Source organism: Homo sapiens, chromosome 16, assembly GCF_000001405.40.
Source record: "Homo sapiens chromosome 16, GRCh38.p14 Primary Assembly".
NCBI classification, from domain to species: Eukaryota; Metazoa; Chordata; class Mammalia; order Primates; family Hominidae; genus Homo; species Homo sapiens.
This window is the reverse complement of record NC_000016.10, coordinates 50,022,883-50,043,079: the sequence shown is the minus strand read 5'-3', so window position 1 is coordinate 50,043,079 and position 20,197 is coordinate 50,022,883. Positions and strand designations below refer to the sequence as shown.

General features: G+C 41.1%; 1 protein-coding gene across 4 annotated transcripts, besides 6 other annotated features; it reads right to left on the bottom strand.

The window, feature by feature from the left end:
- Window positions 2,836-3,036: a silencer, noted in NCBI's record as "peak2587 fragment used in MPRA reporter construct". NCBI's record gives its function as "represses an SCP1 promoter by STARR-seq MPRAs in K562 erythroleukemia cells {active_cell/tissue: K562}" and the evidence as "EXISTENCE:reporter gene assay evidence [ECO:0000049][PMID:32103011]".
- Window positions 4,496-4,696: a silencer, noted in NCBI's record as "peak2586 fragment used in MPRA reporter construct". NCBI's record gives its function as "represses an SCP1 promoter by STARR-seq MPRAs in K562 erythroleukemia cells {active_cell/tissue: K562}" and the evidence as "EXISTENCE:reporter gene assay evidence [ECO:0000049][PMID:32103011]".
- Window positions 4,996-5,196: a silencer, noted in NCBI's record as "peak2585 fragment used in MPRA reporter construct". NCBI's record gives its function as "represses an SCP1 promoter by STARR-seq MPRAs in K562 erythroleukemia cells {active_cell/tissue: K562}" and the evidence as "EXISTENCE:reporter gene assay evidence [ECO:0000049][PMID:32103011]".
- On the bottom strand, window positions 5,999-17,855 carry CNEP1R1 (CTD nuclear envelope phosphatase 1 regulatory subunit 1). 4 transcript variants are annotated; one of them, NM_153261.6, is made up of 7 exons: window positions 17,740-17,855; window positions 17,379-17,429; window positions 16,613-16,684; window positions 13,282-13,355; window positions 9,574-9,683; window positions 8,924-8,978; window positions 5,999-7,663 (listed from the first exon to the last, which is right to left on the bottom strand). In NM_153261.6, the coding sequence occupies exons 1-7, from the start codon at window positions 17,762-17,764 to the stop codon at window positions 7,622-7,624; spliced, it is 429 nt and encodes a 142-aa protein (NP_694993.2). In that variant the 5' UTR covers window positions 17,765-17,855; the 3' UTR covers window positions 5,999-7,621. The 4 variants fall into 4 exon arrangements, 2 of the variants coding, with proteins under 2 accessions (NP_694993.2, NP_001268718.1); NR_104042.2 differs by lacking the exon at window positions 13,282-13,355; NM_001281789.2 differs by lacking the exon at window positions 17,379-17,429.
- Window positions 17,542-17,851: a silencer, noted in NCBI's record as "silent region_7466". NCBI's record gives its function as "represses an Ori minimal core promoter by ATAC-STARR-seq in GM12878 lymphoblastoid cells {active_cell/tissue: GM12878}" and the evidence as "EXISTENCE:reporter gene assay evidence [ECO:0000049][PMID:35858748]".
- Window positions 17,542-18,166: a biological region, named in NCBI's record as "H3K27ac hESC enhancer GRCh37_chr16:50058825-50059326".
- Window positions 17,665-18,166: an enhancer, noted in NCBI's record as "H3K27ac hESC enhancer chr16:50058825-50059326 (GRCh37/hg19 assembly coordinates)". NCBI's record gives its function as "activates a minimal SCP1, AML or CMV promoter by ChIP-STARR-seq in primed H9 embryonic stem cells {active_cell/tissue: H9 hESC(primed)}" and the evidence as "EXISTENCE:reporter gene assay evidence [ECO:0000049][PMID:30033119]".

Genomic DNA, 20,197 nt, shown 5'->3' with positions numbered 1-20,197 from the left:
GTCTATCGCTGCATACATTTAAACATACCCATTCCACTTTCTTCCTCATGGTCTCCTTCCTAACCCCATGCTGTCATCGGGACTGGGTGCTCTCTAAGGATGCGTTGTGCCTTGCATGCTGGAGTCCCATTTCCCATGTGGCTGTTAGCACGTGAAGAGATGGTAGTGATGTTCACCATGATAATGCTGCTGGTTTATTGTGGAAGATCTCAGCAGAAGTCACTGTACGTCATTTTGTTATCTCTCTCCTTTTTTTAAAAAAAATGTCTGTACCCATCCATCCACTAACTGTATGTCATTTATTGAAAGTGTATTCCATATGCATAAATTGAGTTCACATATGTAATCAGATAGAATTCAGAAACAGGGATTTCAGAAACCTAGGTCCTAGGTTGTGCAATTGCTACTATTCAAGTATCCTTTTCTGGATCTCAATTCAAATAACCCAACTCTAAAGGATACATTTATGGGACAGTTGGAGGAGTTTAAGCAGAATATTTGGTATAAAATTGCTACAAAATTATTAGCGTTTCAGGTATGATATAGTATTGTAGTTATATGTAAAATTTTTCTTAACTTTTGGAGATAGTTACTGGAAGATTTCTATATCAAGTGATGTCTGTGATTTGCTTCAAAATAATCCTTTGTGGGGGTGAGGGAGCAAGTTGAAATAGGGTAGGCTGAGCATCTCAAAACTGAAAATCGAAAATCTGAAAAGCTCCAAAATTCAAAACGTTTTTGTTTTGAGACAGAGTCCACTCTGTCGCCCAGGCTGGAGTGCAGTGGCACAATCTCAGCTCACTGCAACCTCTGCCTCCCAGGTTCAAGTGATTCTCCTTCCTCAGCCTCCCAAGTAGCTGGGATTACAGGCACCTGCCACCACGCCTGGCTAATTTTTGTATTTTTAGTAGAGACGGGGTTTTGCCATGTTGGCCAGGCTGGTCTTGAACTCCTGACTTCAGGTGATCCGCTTGCCTCGGCCTCCCAAAGTGCTGGGATTACAGCCATGAGCCACCATGCCTGGCCCAAAATGTTTTGAGTGCTAACCGGACACTTAAAGGAAATGCTTGTTTTGCAGCACTCAGATTAGAGAGTTTTGGAGTTGGAATGCTCAACCTGTAAACATAAAGCAAATATTCCAAAATGTGAAATCTGAAACACTTCTTGTCCTAAGCATTTTGGATAAAGGATTCTGAACCTGTATAAGAAACAAGATTGGCTATATGTTGATAATTGCTCAAGTTGGGTGATGGGAGTTCATTATACCACTCTCTCTATGTTTGCATGTGTTTAAAACATTCCAGAACAATTTGTTTTTAAATGGTTTTCAGGGTAGGTCAGGAAAAAAAATAAATCTGATAATTGTAGGAGACAGAATTTAAAACTCATCTTCTAGCAAGGATATATTTCTTTTTTAATTTACTTAATGAACTTACAATAGACTTAGTTATTTTAGTTTCTCTACCGTTACTTAAATTACAAATCTGAGGCCAAAGTGGGACGATCACTTGAGCTCAGGAGTTCAAGACCAGCTTAGGCAACAAAGTGAGACCCTGTCGCTACAAAAAATTAAAAAGTTAGCTAGGAATGGTGAGAGCCTGTAATCCCAGCACTTTGGGAGGCTGAGGTGTGAGGATTGCTTGATCCCAGGAGTTGGAGGCTGCAGTGAGCCATGATTGTGCCACTGCACGGCAGCCTGGGTGACAGAGCAAGACCCCAACTGAAAATAAATAAATAAATAAAATTTATGTTTTAGTGTATTTACGTATTTATATAAAAACTCAGTTTCAATACCAAAGTCAAGATTCATCCATTTGTTCAACAGCAATTGAGCATCTTCCATAGATGCCAGCACTCTTGGGTACTCAAGATACACCTATAACAAGTACTCAGAATAGCGACTCAAAAATTAGTTTGTGATTTTAAAAAAAAAGCTGGAAAGCTATCTTTTACATACATTATTTCATTTCATCCTTCTAGCTATTCTGCAAGATAGCTATCTAATAGGCCTAAATGAAATTAAGGTTCAGAGAGAATAAGTCACTTGCCCCACTGGCTAATGGAGGAAATGGGACTGTAATCCACATTGATCTGCCAAGTCTGGGTCCTTCCACTGCACGTGGCCCTGAGCTCTCTTACCTGCCAGATGGCATGAGGCTTGATTGGAAGCACTCTCATCTGTTAGATCAACTCTCCACAGCATGCTCCTGGAACACAACTGCTGTGTACCACTCTAGCAGTCAAGCAAGCAAGAGAAGCTGACTTTGAGTAAACTGAAAGCCAATTATTTAAAGGATATTGGGTACTTCAGGATTTTGGAGTGGTCTAGAGAGACTGGTTCAAGGCTAAAGTTCCAGAAGAAAAAAAATGCCCAAACCCATCTTACGGAACTGGTCGGATGAGGAAACTGATGCCACCACCACTGAGTCCCACTGAGTGCCCTGCCACGGAAACACAGCTTTACCACCTCCTCGCATGCCTGGGTCCCAAATGCAGGAGTCCAAAGTTTTCTGGGTTGTCCTGAGAGAGGATGGACTGACATAGCCAGCATTCCCCAAATCTAGCACGGGTGCTCAGAGGGAGCTGGGCAAGGCAACCACTCTGTGATTCTCTCTGTGGGATGTTCAATACATTTGCATGCCTCTTCTCCAATTAAAAAAGAGCAACTGGACAGACAGAAACCACAACAAACACTCTCTGTCCCCCAAATAATGTGAACAAGTCTTTGGTGAAATGGCAGAAAAGCAGGCAGTTTAACAGGTTTCTCTACTGCAGGGCCACTCGGGACATTCATGCATGCATTCATTCATTCGTTTGAGGCAGAGTGTCACGCTGTCGCTCAGGATGGAATGCAGTGGTACAATCATAGCTCACTGCAGCCCCGGCCTCCGGAGCTCAAGCGATCTGCCTGCCTTGGCTTCCCAAGCAGCTGGGATTACAGGCATTAGCCATCGTGCCCAGCCAACATGGAGCTTTTAATATGCTTTACAGCATGAACAATCTCCAGGAGGAGGATGTAGTAGTTCCCAAATATTGGTGATCATGGAACTTTTATTTCTGTAACAGGCTAAATATGATGGAAGAAGTGGTGCTGGTGGTAGGCTTTATGCTCAATTGCTTCTTCTTTTGTCCTCTGCGAAGTCCTATTCATTTGACATTAAAAGTTTTTTTTTTTTCCTTTTTTTTGAGACAGAGTTTTGCTCTTGTTGCCCAGGCTAGAGTCCAATGGCGCGATCTTGGCTCACTGCAACCTCTTCCTCCCAAGTTCAAGCGATTCTCTTGCTTCAGCCTCCTGAGTAGCTGGGATTACAGGTGTTAGCCACCATGCCTGGCTAATTTTTGTATTTTAGTAGAGACGGGGTTTCACCATGTTGGTCAGGCTGGTCTCGAACTCCTGACCTCAGGTGATCCACCTGCCTCGGCCTCCCAGAGTGCCAGGATTACAGGCATGAGCCACCACACCCAGATTATTTTTTTAATATTAAAAAAATTCCCCACTTGCCAAGGCTGACCTATCATTTGCCCTCTAAGAGGTTTTTGGGTAAGCCCAGGCAAAGATTTTTTTTTTTTTTAAAGGTTTTAGTTCTGATTCCACTCCCTGAACTGTAGTTCTGGGGCCCACATATCTCATCTGGGCTATAGCAGCCACTCCCAACTGGCCTCCCAGGTCCTGCCCTGTCATCACAAATGCAAATCCAGTTGTCACTTCCTTAACTGAAAACACTCTGATGGCTTCCCATTGCCCTCGTGAAATGCCATGTTCTGGTTCCTACTTCCTTCCCGTTTTCTCTTGTCACAGCCCCCTCCCCCGCAAAACTTCTCCCTCTAAGGGCAACCAGATGTTTGCTAATCACCTACTTTGGAAAGCTGGTCTGGCTGGATCCTCTTCCCATGGACTCCTGTAGCATCCTACATTTTTACTTTTCATAGCACTTAAACCGCATGGTAACTGCTTGACCACTTGACCACTGGTCTGTACTCCCCACCAGATAACAAGTTCTGAGGTTCTGAGAGGCAGAAATTCATTTTGATTTTTTTTTTTTTTTTTTTGGAGACAGTCTTATTCTGTCACCCTGGCTGAAGTCCAGTCACACAAGTCATAGCTCACTGCAGCCTTGAACTCCTAGGCTCAGGCAATCCTCCCACCTTCGCCTCCTGAGTAGCTGAGACTGTGGGTGTGTGCTACACCCAGCTAATTTTCTTACACATTAATACCCAGCAAAACACTTGCCATGTAAAAGTGAGTCTATAAAGTGATGAACACACTTTAAAATAGGGTAACAAATATCTTTTTATTTTTCTCTGTCCCTTTAAAATATGGTAACAAATATCTTTTTATTTTTCTCTGTCTCTCATACAGTCAGACTGGCATAGCAGGTATCAGTGGTACACTAAAAACATCAGATTTTAATGTGTTCCATGATGAAGCAGACAAGACGCACTTCCTAGCTTTGGTGGGAAAAAAAGAAATTATACTTACCCTTTGTAAAAGCATAGAGAAAGTTTAGAGCTGAAGAATAAGACTCAAACTTCTATGGTTTCAACAGGACAGGAAGCGAGAGAAACCTCAGTTGCTGAGGGCAGGGTATTTGTCAGTTAGAAGGATTGTTAAATCTTTATAAAATGCCAATCAAGATGGCTAGTTCTAAAGGAGAAAAGAGCGTCTCAAAAAGCAGCACTATCAGATAGTCACGAGCTTGAATGTTTTCAGAGAGGTTCTTCAGGAAAACACCAAACACCATTTTCAGAATGAGAGGCCAAATATCCTCTCTTTGCCTTTAGTCCAGTTTTCAGGAGTTTGCTTGGTTCAAAAGATTAGGTAAAATTTCCTCATGGTTATCTCAACTAAGATGTTGACTTTGGGCAAAGTTGTAACAACGTTTTTTTTTTCCCCCTTAAAGATTTGGGTTAACACACTTACTGAGTATTGACTCTGCAGCTAGGCACTATTTAAGTGCTTTACATGAATTAACACTTTAAGACTTGAAATAAGCCTGGAAGATTAGCATTATGCCTGTATCCTATATATTATCTCTCTGTACCAAAGAAACTGGCATTATGCCCACTTAATAAATGAGGAAACTAAGGTTGCATAATTTAGCTGAAGTTACAAAACTACCAAGGAGCAGATCTGAGATTCAAATCCAGGCAGTTTGGCCTAACAGTCTACATTCTTAACAGTAATATTATAATGGCTCTTGAATAAATTCACTTCACACACATACATAAAGATCCATTCAATCTGAGTCAGAGATTTGGATTTTGGTGCTGGCTCTGTCTTTAGTAAGTTGTGGGGATTTCATGTAGACACTTTGCAAATCTGAGACTGTCTACTCCACCTGTAAAATTAGATGATTGGATTCAATCAGTCACCTCCTAACAACGTGAGAGAGGAGATGAGAAGGTAGAGATGGTGGTTAGAAACTAACATCACAAGGATCCTTGGCCCATTCCGAACAAATACTCCTTAGGAAAATGAGTTATTCTGCTAGAAGTTAAGGTATGAAAAATCTCTGGACTATAACAGATTGTTTTCTTTTGAAGCCCATGGAATCCAAGTAATGTGGCATCTGGAAGTCCCCTCCAAGTGCATGCAAAGACACAGGTGGGTTTTCCTAGAGGAGGAGTCAAGTCTTTTATTAAACACTCAAAGGAATTCATGACTCCAAAAAAGATGAAGGGCCTGTAAAATACTTCTTCAGCTTTATGCTCTTGGAGGAAACTGGCAATCCAAGTTTGTAAAGAGCAATATGACAAAACCTGTATTTCCTGATTAACAGCCAAGTGTTATTAGACTATGATGAATAAGACATATTAAAAGTAATCATAACCTAATAAACTGGGTACCTACACGTGCTACTTAAAATTTGCTGTCTTGGACACAGAGCTAAAGTAAAATATCTCATCTAGAACTAGCTTATATCTGATACAGACAATATGTTTTAACATTTTTTTCAGAGTTACAAACTTAACAATAAAGAAAAAGTCCAATCACGAGTTATATATAAAGTATTTATTTTTAATGCACATATTTACCTACAAAATTTACAGAAAATAAAACAAAGCAGAATATATAGAATACCCTCTTAAGACTTCTTAGGAGCTGAGGGTTTTATTGCTGCAGTTCAAAGAATCAAATTTTATACAAGTGAAAGCTAAGATGAACACATTTAAGTTAAATGGCAGCCTTGTTAAAAAGCTTTTTTATCCTGTTATTGAATTTTCAGCTTTATGTTAAATGAAATTTAAAAGATTGCTCATGAAATAATTTAAACCTTTTCAAAATCTAATAAACAGGTAAAAGGCACCTCCAGTACTTTAAAATATTTACAGCAATCCCAATAGTTTAATTTTAAGGGCTATTATAGTACATGCGGCTATTATGCATACACAGTATGTCATTAACACTCTCTAAACAGTGAGAATTGTAGACTCTAGTTTCTGGCACCACTCCCAAGTTATTCTGGTGAAGGCATAGGATGACCAATTACACCTGTGCAACACTAGTGTCACAGCCTGTCTACCACAGCGTAAAATCCAGTTATCTAAAACAATGACTATCAAATTCCCAGACAATACATAATTTATCAGTAGACTTGTATATTCACAAGCCTTTAGGGTATTTTAAAAATTATTAAAGAGGCCAGGCACGGTGGCTTATGCCTGTAATCCCAGCATTTTGGGAGGATGAGGCAGGAGGATCACGAGGTCAGGAGATCGAAACCATCCTGGCCAACGTGGTGAAACCCCGTCTCTACTAAAAATACAAAAAAATTAGCTGGGCATGGTGGCATGCGCCTGTAGTCCCAGCTACTCAGAAGGCTGAAGCAGGAGAATCGCTTGAACCTGGGAGGCAGAGGTTGCAGAAAGCCAAGATCGTGCCACTGCCCTCCAGCCTGGCAACAGAGCGAGACTCCGTCTAAAAAAAAAAAAAAAAAAAAGAAAATTATTAAAGCAATATAAAGGATATTTAGCATTAAATGAGAACAATGAACTAAAAATATAACCACAATAGTTGCTGGAGTTCAATATCTGGTTTAACAAAAAGTGTCTCTCAAAACATCTATAATTTCTTACAACATAATGGAGAGTTTTCCTCAGTCTAAGCTGAATCCAATGTTTTTCCTGCAGTATGATTAGAAATGTAAGAATGAAAGGCACACATAATAGCCAGTTTTAAAGAGCTGTGGGGATGGCAAGCAGATGTTCCTGAAATACTGGTGCAAGAGAACAAAGTCCACACAACGTTTTCCTCTTTGTTTAACATTGGCATTGATTTGCTATTTACAGTAGTTTGCAAAAATACATTATAAAAACTGAATGAGGTTCTGTTTCTAAGTTTAACTTAGTAACATACATACATACTTCATCTGCAAAAATATTTGCAGGATCTGAAGTACTAAAGTGACACTAATACTGAAACACAGGTAATCAAAAGTACCAAAGCACTGATAATGAGTCACCATCATCAAGATAATCCAGGTAAATATTGCACACTTCTTGTCAGTTGCTGCTATGACCTTTACATATCCAACCGCAAAAGGAATCCTTTATGGCTTTTTGCTGTATCACTTATTCGAAGAAAGGCTATTTTAAGTCCCATAACAATGAGTGAAGATTGTCATTGAACATGAGGCCTAGGTTTCAAAATTAGTTTTCCTGTCTGCAAAAATGAAAAGACAGAATTTTTTCAATACACAGTTCTAGTAAAAATACCACTGCTTATTTATAAACCTTAAAGGGTATGTGCAAGGAATAAGAACGCTTCTCTATAGTCAAGATTAAACAATTAATAGTTATGCTTTCAGAGCTTCCTTTGTGTGGAGCTTCCTTCTGAGCTCTTTATTTTAAAATACTACATACATCTTTTTTTCTCCTCTTTTCATTTTTTGTAGAGACGGTGTCTTGCTATGTTGCCCAGGTTCATCTCAAACTCCTGGACTCAAGCAATCCTCCTGCCTTGGCCTCCCAAAGTGCTGGGATTACAGGTGTGAACCACCATGCCTGGCCTCTTTATTCTAATTTCTGTAATGAATAGGTATTACTTGTTTAATGACTTTTTAAATTGAAGGCTAAGACACTTTTATAAATAAAATAAGCAAATCAAAATAGAAGCTACCTATCAAAATTGTGAGACACCCTTATTACACACTGGTACATGATAGTTTTTAATTTACTTAAAGACAGGGTCTCACTGTCGTCCAGGCTAGACTGCAGTGGTATGATCACAGCTCACTGCAGCCTCAAATTCCTGGGCTCAAGCAATCCTCCTGCCTCAGCCTCCCAAGCAGCTGGGACTACAGGTGTGCACCACCTGCCTGGCTAATTTTTACATTTTTTTGTAGAGATGGGGTCTTGCTAATGTTGCCCAGGCTGGTCTCAAACTCCTGGACTCAAGAGATCCTCCTGCCTCAGCTTCCCAAAATGCTGGGATTAGAGGCATGAGCCACCATGCCCAGTCTCCCATCATCTACTTTTAAAAACACAATAGGTTCATATGTCCATAGTCCACAAATTAATCTATGACTCTATATTTACAAATAACATATATAGCATATCACTTGATAAATAACAGTAGTTTATAAAACCAATATCCGCTGAGCCATTTTTGGTCAATAACAAACAACCACTGTACTTCACTGAATCTAAGATGCATCAGTTATAAGATGCATCATGATTTTATGTCATTAAGAAAGATTAAATTGTCAACTCTCCCAATTTGTCAGATCTCATTGACTGTAAGATGGATCTCAATGCCAAAGATGTTAAATGTAAAAGTACCTTAGAATCAATGCTCTAAGTATATTCTCACTATTCATTCCACAGAGAAAATTTATTGCTAATAAAATGTCTACCTTTCTAAAGCCAAAAATTTCAGTGTTTTCATGCAGGTCTATAATTTTCTAACCAAAAAAATACTTACATCATCACAAGACATATTGTATTCTGCTAATACCGTTCGACATCGAGCAGCTATACTGAATACATGTGGTCAAAGGAAAATTTCTCATTTCAAGAGTATGCTTTTAGGCCGGGTGCGGTGGCTCAAGCCTGTAATCCCAGCACTTTGGGAGGCCGAGGCGGTCGGATCACAAGGTCAGGAGATCGAGACCATCCTGGCTAATCCGAGATCGCGCCACTGCACTCCAGCCTGGGCGACAGAGCAAGACTCTGTCTCAAAAAAAAAACACAAAGCGTACTCTTTTTTTTTTTTTTGAGACGCAGTCTTGCTCTGTCGCCCAGGCTGGAGTGCAGTGGCGTGATTTCAGCTCACTGCAACCTCTGCCTCCCGGGTTCAAGCGATTCTCCCACCTCAGCCTCCCGAGTAGCTGGGACTACAGGCACAGACCACCACACCTGGCTAATTTTTTGTATTTTAGTAGAGATGGGGTTTCACCATGTTGCCCAGGCTGGTCTCAAACTCCTGAGCTCAGGAAATCCACCCACCTCAGCCTCCCAAAGTGCTGGGATTACAGGCGTGAGCCACCACGCCCGGCAAGAGTAAGCTTTTAACCATTACCTAGATCAACAAAGCACTTCAGAGAATGGAATTTAATCCTTGGTAAAGGATACATTGATGGTGCAACTACTCTCTTGTGTATTCCAGCAAAGAACAAGCCTATTAGAGTGATACAGCTAATGGTGAAAAATGGGTGATTCCATAATGATGTGAAGAAGGACACCTGTAAAAGAAGAGATGAAAATATAAAAATGTTAAAAATCTTAGGATGGCTGATTCCTACCTCCCCACTTGTACATAAATATATATAATATTTTTTATCATATAAACCATGAGGATTTGAAGACTTCTAATAATCTTAGTTCTCTGTATTGCTGCGTTGTAAAAATAAAAATGTATAGGCTATCTTCTATAAAGCAAGATAAATATAGCAGTATTCCCTCCATTCATTTCAAATACTTGAACTATTACAAATTCATTCCTATAATCAAAAAACAACCCTATCAAAAATATTTACTGAACTCTGCATTGAATGAGTGAAGATGAGGCCTCTGGTCTCAATGAAAACACAAATCAAACTTGATTTAGTTACCTTCCCTGTTTTTTTTTTTTTTGAGACAGAGTTTCACTCTTGTCACCCAGGCTGGAGTGCAATGACACATTCTCAGGTCACTGCAACCTCCACCTCCAGGATTCAAGCAATTCTCCTGCCTCACCCTCCCAAGTAGCTGGGATTACAGGCGCCCACCACCACACCCGGCTAATTTTTGTACTTTTAGTAGAGACGGGGTTTCACTATGTTGGCCAGGCTGGTCTTGAACTCTTGACCTCAGGTGATCTGCCCGCCTCGGCCTCCCAAAGTGCTGGGATTACAGGCGTGAACCACCACGCTCAGCCTACCTTTACTGTTAAAAAGCTTCCTTAAAAGAGTTGAGCAAACTCTGCCATTCATAACCTGATCCCAGTCTAATTTTCATCTCCTGCCATATTTCCACACATATGCTGCCTTGTTCACCTCTCTCCCTCCACCTGGCTAACTCTTACATATCCTCATAACACTCAATTCCAGCATCACCCCTTCCTCCCTGCAGAGGCAAAAAACAAATTTGGTTTTGAAGCTACTGAGATCTAAATGACCACAGGACATTCAAGTAGGGAAAAACGATTAGTAGCTATCCATAAAGAACTAGAACGAAGGAGAAAGAAAGGGCTGATTTCAGATCTGGACATATCAAATGATAGCAGAAAACAGGACAATCCACAAGTCTAAGAATATGTAGAGGGACAAGGGTCCAGGATCCATGACTGGAATAAGAATAGGCACCGAAATGGAAACGTTGACTGGAGACACAGAGAAGACAAGCATTTAGAGCCTGTGTAGAAAGAAATCAAGTGGATTAGTAACTAGATGGGAGCAAGAGAATCAAGTTAAGCACATCCCCACTCCACTCTCACAGCAGGAGACGCGCAGGCACGTGTTTCAAGACAGAAGCACCAGGTAGATGGCTCAGCATGGTACTGGTTACAGAAGTTTGTCAGATGAAGAAATGAGAGGCTGAAAATACCAGGAAAGAAGCTCCCAGAAAGATGATGACCCAAGGAAAAGTTAATATTCCAGAAGAACGTCTTCTTCAAACCTCCGAGGAGTTTCTCATAAGCCAGCTCTGTTGTGTGTGGCCTGCACCAGGTTAGCATATACAGTGCTTTATGTCTTCATTTTAATTAGGCCATCAGTTTCAGCCTTCCTCCCTCCATGGCAACACTCCAATGCATTGAAACAGCAGTTCTCTCCAGGCCAGGCAGTCAGGTACTTCCTGTCTGCCATATTCTTTCTCTCCCTAGGTTCTTCTACCTAGCCACTGCTCCTGAGTTTGCAACTCTTGCTACAGATACAATTGCTGGTTAAAACTCCTGTCAGGTTTGGGGTTATTAAATACTGAAATATAAAGAGCCAACCCTTAGGCGAATAGTTATATTCTCACCTAATTTAGAAAATTATATTAACTACATAGTTTTGGGCCTATTTCAAATTACATTTAATTCTGTGTTTTATTAAGATCTCAACTAGCTGAGATCAGCTTATATTTTTCCCAATTAGAAGTCAGACTCATTTCCCAAGATGGATCTTTTTCAATCTTCTTGCCAGCCTCTTTCCACTCTTCCCCTAAAGATGACTACCAAGTGCAGCCTTAAGATCAGATTTTTATAAATGAACACACAAGAGAGTTTCCTGTCTGCCATAAAAATCCTCTATTAACATAAAATTCCATCACCAATCTCCCCTTGCTTCCTATCCTTTTAAATATCTCCACCTCAGCAGATAAAGTTAGGGAGACTATATGCGAAATAAACTTCTCTGGCTGTCTGAATTGCCATGGAGACTGATGACAAAAGCCTTCTCTTAGGCTTTTCTTCTGTAAAACCTAAAAGGTACAAATAGAGCTACTGAAAGTAGTCTACTTAATTGCAGCTTAAAGCGGGGAGGGGATTTTTAAGATTTGTGAAAATTACATCATTACTCCCTAAATAAAACTGCACTGGGGGAAAGAAACTTCACTAAAAAATTGGAGACTAACTACTTCTCTAATAAAAAAAAGCCCTGAGTTTGAAATTAAAGCACAAATTAGTAGAAAGAGGTGGAAATTTGAGAAACATGCTATCAGCTTTCATCAAAGGATGCTTCAAGGAATAACATTATGAAATCAGTTATTGCATTTGGTATAGGGATATTCTTGCACAGTGCCCAGTGGGAGATCCCTCAGTGTTTCCTGTATTAAACTTCAGGCAAGAAATTTTTTTTCAGAGATAAATGTTGGGAAAGAAAAGCTTTGCTAGCCCAAGGAATTGATATATGTGTTATCTTACAGGCAATGAAAATCACAGAATTAACTGTGACTTCACTGATTAGGTAACTCAGAGACTAATTTATAATCCAATTCTGGCAAGTGTGTTGGGAAACATGGCCTATACATCAGTGAGCTGGTTTCCTTTCTGGTTTTGACCTCATGGTCCAACTTGTTTTTATCTAGTCCTGACTTTTTATTATATGTGTATTTTGCTATTTTATCATGTGTGTTTCCTGTAAAGTCATCTCCAGTGTTTTATGGGATGAAGAAAGGTATTAACAGAGATAACTCATAGAAGAAAATGTTATTTTACAATTTTTTTCTCTCCCTCTTTTTTTCTGAGACAGGGTCTAGCTCTGTCACACAGGCTGGAGTGTAGTGGCACAATCATAGCTCACTGCAGCCTCGATCTCCTGAGCTCAAGTGATCCTCCCACCTCAGCCTCCCAAGTAGCTGGGTACAGCATGCTACACTTGGCTGATTTTTAAATTTTTTGTAGAGATGGGGTCTTGCTATATGACATTGCCCAGGCTGGTCTTGAACTCCTCCCTTGGCCTCCCAAAGTGTTGGGATTCCAGGTATGAGCCACCATGCCTGGCCTATTTTAGAACTTTTAAAAGCTGGCACTGATGACACTCAATGAACAAAGCAGAATGAAGATAATACTCACACTGAAGTAAAAATGAGAGATATAAAAAAAATGTAAAAATGATAAATTCAGAAGTGAATGACAAATAACAAATAAATGTCTAAGAAATAATAGCATCTCTTAGACCTTTTCCCTGTAGACATACTTAATTCACAATAGCCAGCCAAAATCTTCCTTGAGCAAATTAATAAAAGGCATATTTTTAATATGACAATATCACTAGTAGTAGTTAATAGGTAGTGTTTGAATACTTTATCATTAACAAAGCACTACAATATCCATTATCTCATTTAATTATGCTAATGATTTTAAAACAAAACTTCTACCTTTTGTGTCTCAGGGTCTATTAACCAGTTCCAGGCACCAGTAGCTGTACAGACAGATACCACTATAAGAAGCACTGATGAAAGATAAACACGAAATTAGTAAGCAAATACATACTTAATATGTGATACTATCACCACCAGTTCCTACTAAATGACAACCAAAGAATATAGCACTTTATTAAATGGAAAATGCACTAACTAGACTCAGGAATTAGAAGGCTTGCCATCTGGCTTCGAGGAATTCTCTTAAACATTGTGAACCTTAGTAATTAAGGATACTGTTTCTCTTATGATTTGGTCAGAACTTATGATGATCAATGAAATAAAAAGCAATTCGATGGTGACACTTCAGTAGAAGAGTCTACGCTATGTAACGTTCACTGTGCTTAGTGAAGATTTTGCAGATCTTGTAAACTCAAATTAAAAAAACAAACTCATTTTCTACTGTAAACAAACCATCAAAGACTCCTTTTTGAATGTACTGAGAAGACTGACTAAAGGATTTTGCTTTGCAGATGACTGCCATGGTTACATTAAAGTCAGTGCAGGAAGTATGGAGCACACCAGTTAGTATCGGATTTTCTTTAAGAGACTTAAAGAAAGGTAGGGTAGAAATTACTGCCAGTAAAACTTAGAAAAGGTCTTTCTCTCCACTAAGCTAGAATGATTTTAGAAATTCTAAATAAATCATAAGTAAAACTTAAGAATGGTATTAGTAAAAAATAATAAAGGGGCATCAAGACCCAGTTAATATTCTGGAGATGATGACCGTTGCCTGTCTTTCAGCTAGGATGCATACATTTTTCAAATGTGGAAATTCAGTTTCCAAGAACAACAGAAATATAGCAAATATACAAATATAGTAAAACCTTAATTATCTAGAATTCCTTGATGTACTTTTAGAAGACGTAAACTAAAGAAAAAAAATCTTGTTTTAGGTATTAAATAGGATCAAAATATCAAAACTATGTTCTGAACTCAGAACAGACTGAACTCAATTTCTTACAATTCTGTATTTCCAGAAATGCACTATATTACACATGTATGTTTTAAAAAAATAAGAAAAAGCAAAATCAATACACTAGAAAGGACCTCATACACATGCTTTATTTGACTGGTTCATTAACCAAGTAAGTGCTAAGACCATGAGTCAGAGAAAAAGTAAAGTATATTTATATCACATTTTATAAGATAGGGCAGTATCATATACATTTTAAAAGATTTTCAAGTAACAGTGAAACATAGGTTTTGGGGATAATTCCTAGGTAAACCAGAGAACCTAGGAAAATCATTACCTGTAAATTCTGACCAACCAGAATTCTCACAGCATACTAATAAAACTTTGCAAATAGATTTAATAAAAATTATACAAAAAAATCTTGCCAGATCCTTAGATCCTTAGCTTCAATAGTGCTTTTTTGGTCCAGCAAACTGATTTACACTTTGAAATAAAGTAAATCCTCAATGTGTGCTACTACACTTCCTTCTTGATAGGAATTAAATCTAAATAATGACCATCTAGGAAATTAAAACTATTTGGCCCAGCGTGGTGGCTCACACCTGTAATCCTAGCACTTTGGGAAGCCAGGATGGGAGGATCACCTGAGGTGAGGAGTTTGACACCAGCCTGGCCAAAATGCAGAAACCCTATCTCTACTAAAAATACACAAAAAAATTAGCTGCCGTGGTGGCGGGCACCTGTAATCTCAGCTACTAGGGAGGATGAGGCAGGAGAATCACTTGAACCCGGGAGGCAGAGGTTGCAGTGAGCGAAGATGGCGCCACTGCACTCCAGCCTGGGCAACAGAGCTAGACTCCATTTCCAAAACAAAAACAAATAAAAACTATTCCAAACACATATTAACAAAGCATTTTGTTTGATGATCTCATGGCTCATATATTTGTCCACATTTCCTATGTATTTCCATGGGCAAGTAAGCACTGTTCAAATTATATTTTGTAGCACTCATGATACTTATGAATAGATAGTAATAATGTGAATTTTCTAGGTCAGACTTCAAAGCAGCACAATTATGCTTTGTTAAAAATCAACTAAGGGTAATTTTGTAACTTTTCCAAGTATACATTAAATAACATGACTTTACTTTTTTTTTTTTTTAAACACAGGGTCTCCCTCTGTTCCCTAAGCTGGAGTGCAGTGAACATAGCTCACTTAGCTCACTACATAGCTCACTACAGCCTCGACCTCCTGGGCTCAAGTGATCCTCCCAAGTTGCTGGGACCTCGGGGTGTGCCACCATGCCTGGCTAAATTTTTTTTTTTTTTTTTTTGAGACAGAGTCTCGCTCTGTCGCCCAGGTTGGAGTGCAGTGGTGCAATCTCGGCTCACTGCAAGCTCTGCCTCCTGGGTTCACTCCATTCTCCTGCCTCAGCCTCCAGAGTAGCTGGGACTACAGGCGCCCGCCACCACGCCCGGCTAATTTTTTTATTTTTAGTAGAGACGGGGTTTCACCGTATTAGCCAGGATGGTCTCGCTCTCCTGACCTCGTGATCCGTCCGCCTCGGCCTACCAAAGTGTTGGGATTACAGACGTGAGCCACCGCGATGGGGTCTCTCCATGTTACCCAGGCTGGTCTCAAACTCCCATGCTCAAGCAATACTCCAGCCTCGGCCTCCCAAAGTGCTGGGATTATATGCGTGACTCACTGAGCCCTATTAATATGACTCTTCTTACTAAAATTTTATTCCAATAGTTTGTAGGCAAATTATAAAACTGCTAAACGGGCTACTGAAATTTTTATTAGGTATGTCTTTATCAAAACTGTAATAATTCAAAAATTTAAATATTTTTATTATTTATTTATTGAGACCGGGTTTTACTCTTGTCGCCCAGGCTGGAGTGCAATGGCGCAATCTCGGCTCACTGCAATCCCCGCCTCCCGGGTTCAAGCGATTCTCCCACCTCAGCCTCCTGAGTAGCTGGGATCACAGGCAGCGTCACCACGACCGGCTAATTTCGTATTTTTAGTAGAGACGGCGTTTCACCGTGTTGGCCACGCTAGTCTTGAACTTCTGACCTTAGGTGATCCGCCTGCCTGGGCTTCCTAAAGTGCTGGGATTACAGGCGTGAGCTACGGCGCCTGGCCAAAAAATATGTTTTTTAATGGAAAAACAAAAACAACCACACGAAATAGACTGTTCTTTTGAGAAGGCCAGTTATAATTTCCTTTTCTTAAAAATTTCTTCATAAGGCATTGTCTACAATGTTAAATAAATTTAAACAAACATTTTACATAAAAGCAAATCATTCCTATATTAGGATAAAAGTATCAATTGTTAGTTTTCCCTTAAAATAACATTCAGGAACTTACTTCTCCAGCGTCCAGTAGCAGGTTGCAAACAATGAATATATTCAGTAAGTCTCCTCTCAAAAGCCTTGAGATCTAGGTATAAAGATGTCAATTTTCTAATTAGCCACTCTTACTCGTCTGACGAAATGTCAGAGTATTTACCTAACATTAAGACGACATGTGAGATACTCTTAACTGCTTCAGGTCTTACACACTAACTTCCATGTATCACTGCACTGTTTATTTCATTTACTATGACAGCTTTTTAAGCACTTGACAAAAAATTAGGGCTCTTTAATTCCAATTTCTCATATAAGAAAACTTGCTGATTTACTTTTAGAAGCTTCATAAATGGTATTGGGAGAAATAAGCAGCAGCCTCGGCCAGCGCCAAAAGCGAACATTTTCAGGGTTGCAAATAAAATTAAAATCAGGTCGAGTTTTAGCTCTCTGGGAACCAAGAACTTCCTATTAGAACCACGTAGTGCCTAACATCAAAGTCTTCGAGGTCTACCTGACTGCAATTACCCGCCTCCGGTTTCCAGCTCTTATATTTAATTAATGGCTACGCCGTCTGGCCTTACTAGACTTCTTGACACTGATAGCGAGTGGGTGTGGAAAGACATTCCCCTTGCCCCCTCCGAAGGGGTACAGGTGATCTTCGTGGCACCCAGGCAGCGCCTAGTTCTAGAAGACAGGGGCGTCTAAGCTGCTCCGAGTGAGTGGTGGGGTATCCTTTCCGCAGTGGTGTGCTTTAAACTTTAAAACACCGAGCAGCACTTCCTAACCTTGGCAGTTACCGGAAACCACCGCAGGAATCAGGGATACAACTCGCGGGGCTGTGAGAATGAAATGAAATGAATTAGCAGGCTGCAATGCACGAAGTGCAAGTGTCTGCCAGTGAAAAGAAAATAAAAATAGAAGCTGGCGAGGAGGTCGACCCTCTAGGTTTGTGGGGACTCAGGGAGCTGAGGCACCGCCCCCCGCGTCTGGCCAGGTACGGCCGCCTACGCGCCCCCAAGCTCCGGGCCCCTAGCTCCATCCTCTGCGGCCTCCTCCCGGGGCGGGGGTCTTCACGACGCCGGCTCCTCCGGAGCACCGCCAGCTTCCGAGGGGAGACGGGGGACGGGCCCGGGCGGCCCACCCTACCTTCCGCCTGCTCCAGCGAGTTCATGTCGGGCGGCAGCTCGGGTCACCGCCGCTGCCCTGTCCGCATCGCAGCTTCCGCGGCCCCCGCCCGGCCCGCAGCGCCAACTCCCACCTCTAACCGCTCCCCGCTGCCCCTCCCCGTCGCACCGCCCCTTGCCTAGACCCGCTACGCTCATTGGATTCCTCTACTAGACCTCCAACTAAGACAGCTTTCTATTGGCTGTCTCTTGCACCGGCCTCGGCGCCTAGCGTTGGACGGTCAGCCGGAGGGACCAAGAACTGCCGGCGGCCAGGCGGGCGTAACGCTGGCGTCGCCTGCTGCCCCGGGGAGGAACTGCAGCCCTCCGGAGCCAGTTCGTTCATTCATTTATCCCCCGTTCCCCGCTTGGTTCTTTCATTCGTCAAATGTTGATTGAGCGCCCACTACCTTCCAGGCATTATTCTGGTCGCTAGCGAGGGATACAGAAATCAAAGAGCTGGTTCTGTCCTCAAGGATCTCAAGGAGTAATGAAATCTGTACAGAACTAACTAGAACCCTAAATAACCAGTTTCCTTAATTATGGTATCCTAGATAACCAACCCCTTAAGTAAACACTTCTCTCTTGGTTACTTTCCTCTCACATCACCCAGCTTTCATAATTCCTAAATGAGGCAAAGTGTAAGCCCAAATACCTATAACTTAAGAAGAGATCTGTAAGGGATTGACTACATTTGTATTTGATCACAAGGCCTTCTTGTTCATTTATTGGTGGCATTCTTTCATTCAAAATCATTTTATTGCCTAACATGCTAGACACTGTATTGATACGCGTGTGAGCCAGGTAGACAGGATTCCTGCCCGCAAAGAGGAAGGGCTACAGCAGGCAACAAACATGCAAATAAGTAATTGATTTCAAATAAGAATAGTTGTGTTAAAATAGAGATCCTGGCCGGGCGCGGTGGCTCACGCCTGTTAATCCCAACACTCTGGGAGGCTGAGGCGCGTGGATCACTTGAGGTCAGGAGTTGAGACCAGCCTGGGCAACATGACAAAACCCTGTTTCTACTGAAAATACAAAAAAATTATCCAGACGTGGTGGTGCATGCCTGTAATCCCAGCTCTTTGGGAGGCTGAGGCACGAGAGTCACTTGAACCCAGGAGACGGAGGTTGCAGTGAGCCACTGCACTCCAGCCTGGGTGACAGCGTGAGACTGTCAAAAAAGAAAAAGAAAAAAAAAAGAATCTAAGACTGATGGGCTAGATTTTTTTGTGGCAGTAACATACCAACTTATAAACAAGACCTAAGGCCCTGCCAGGCAAGGGTTAAATCACTCAAGACCCAGACACTTAAAGAATAAACGATGTTCTAACTGCCACAATGTTCGTTTTTTTCCTCTAGCAGCTAAACAAGCAATATTAAAACAATTGCAGCTTACCAAGTACCAGTCACTGACTAACTGATCCCTTTGTTCCACAAGCCATAACTCCTGCTTTCATTAGACAAGAGACTGATTTCAGTAACTTTCTCCTGATAAGAGACCACCCACCATAGATTGGCCCTAGCCAGTCTACAGAGGCTGCACAATGAGTGCCTTTATGTTCTCTGCTTCGCCTTTTGACGTAAAGGGTCTAACTGTAATGCATTTAAATGTTAAGTCTCTACCCCAAAGTGAACATGTGACCCATGTAACATGCATGATTGTTTATTATGCATGTGTGCACCCCTCTTTCCTGAATAGCTTCTCCTATAACCTGTTAAATATGTATACTTGGCCAACCCATTTGGCATAAATTCCTGCTTCACCCTTCCTCCTTCAAAGTGCCTGCTTTTGGTCTCTGCCAGAGACCATACTTCCCAGCCTATAAGGATGGCCAGCCTGCAGGCTCCAACCCTTCAGAAATAAACCTCTTTAGGCCAGGCACAGTGGCTGATGCCTGTAATTCCAACACTTTGGGAGGCTGAAGTGGGAGGATCACTTGAGTCCAGGAGTTCCAGACCAACCTGGGCAACATAGTGAGATTCTGTCTCTACAAAAAACAAACAAACAAACAAAAAACATTTAAAAATTAGCTGGGCATGGTGGCATGTGGCTGTGGTCCCAGATACTCAGGAGGCTGAGGCAGGAAGATTGCTTGAACCCAGGAGTTCGGCGCTGCAGTGAGTTATGATTGCACCACTGCACTCCAGCTGGGGCAACAGAGCAAGACCCTGTCTCAACAAACAAACAAACAAACAAACAAACAAACAAGCAGAAATAAAGCTCTCCTCCCCAGATTTATGAACCTCATGATCCTTTAGTTGACAGTTCTATGGAGGGAGTAACAGTAATAGGATACAGTGAGAAAAAGGAAGGTTAGCAGGATCTCATGCTTTGGGAGGGCTTCATGAGGCACAGGCATTTGAGCTGAGAATGAAAAGATGGATGAGAAGAATCCAGCCATGCAAAGATGAGGGCTAAGAAGGTTCTAAGCAGCACT

Bases quoted from the DNA above. Each gene is read 5' to 3' on its own strand.
- CNEP1R1 (NM_153261.6), bottom strand. From the start codon at position 17,764: ATGAACTCGCTGGAGCAGGCGGAAG. The intron at 8,979-9,573 runs GTATCCTTTACC...ACATGTATTCAG, and splicing joins AGAGTAGTTGCACCATCAAT to TATAGCTGCTCGATGTCGAA. The intron at 7,664-8,923 runs GTAAGTATTTTT...TCATTTTTGCAG, and splicing joins ACAATATGTCTTGTGATGAT to ACAGGAAAACTAATTTTGAA.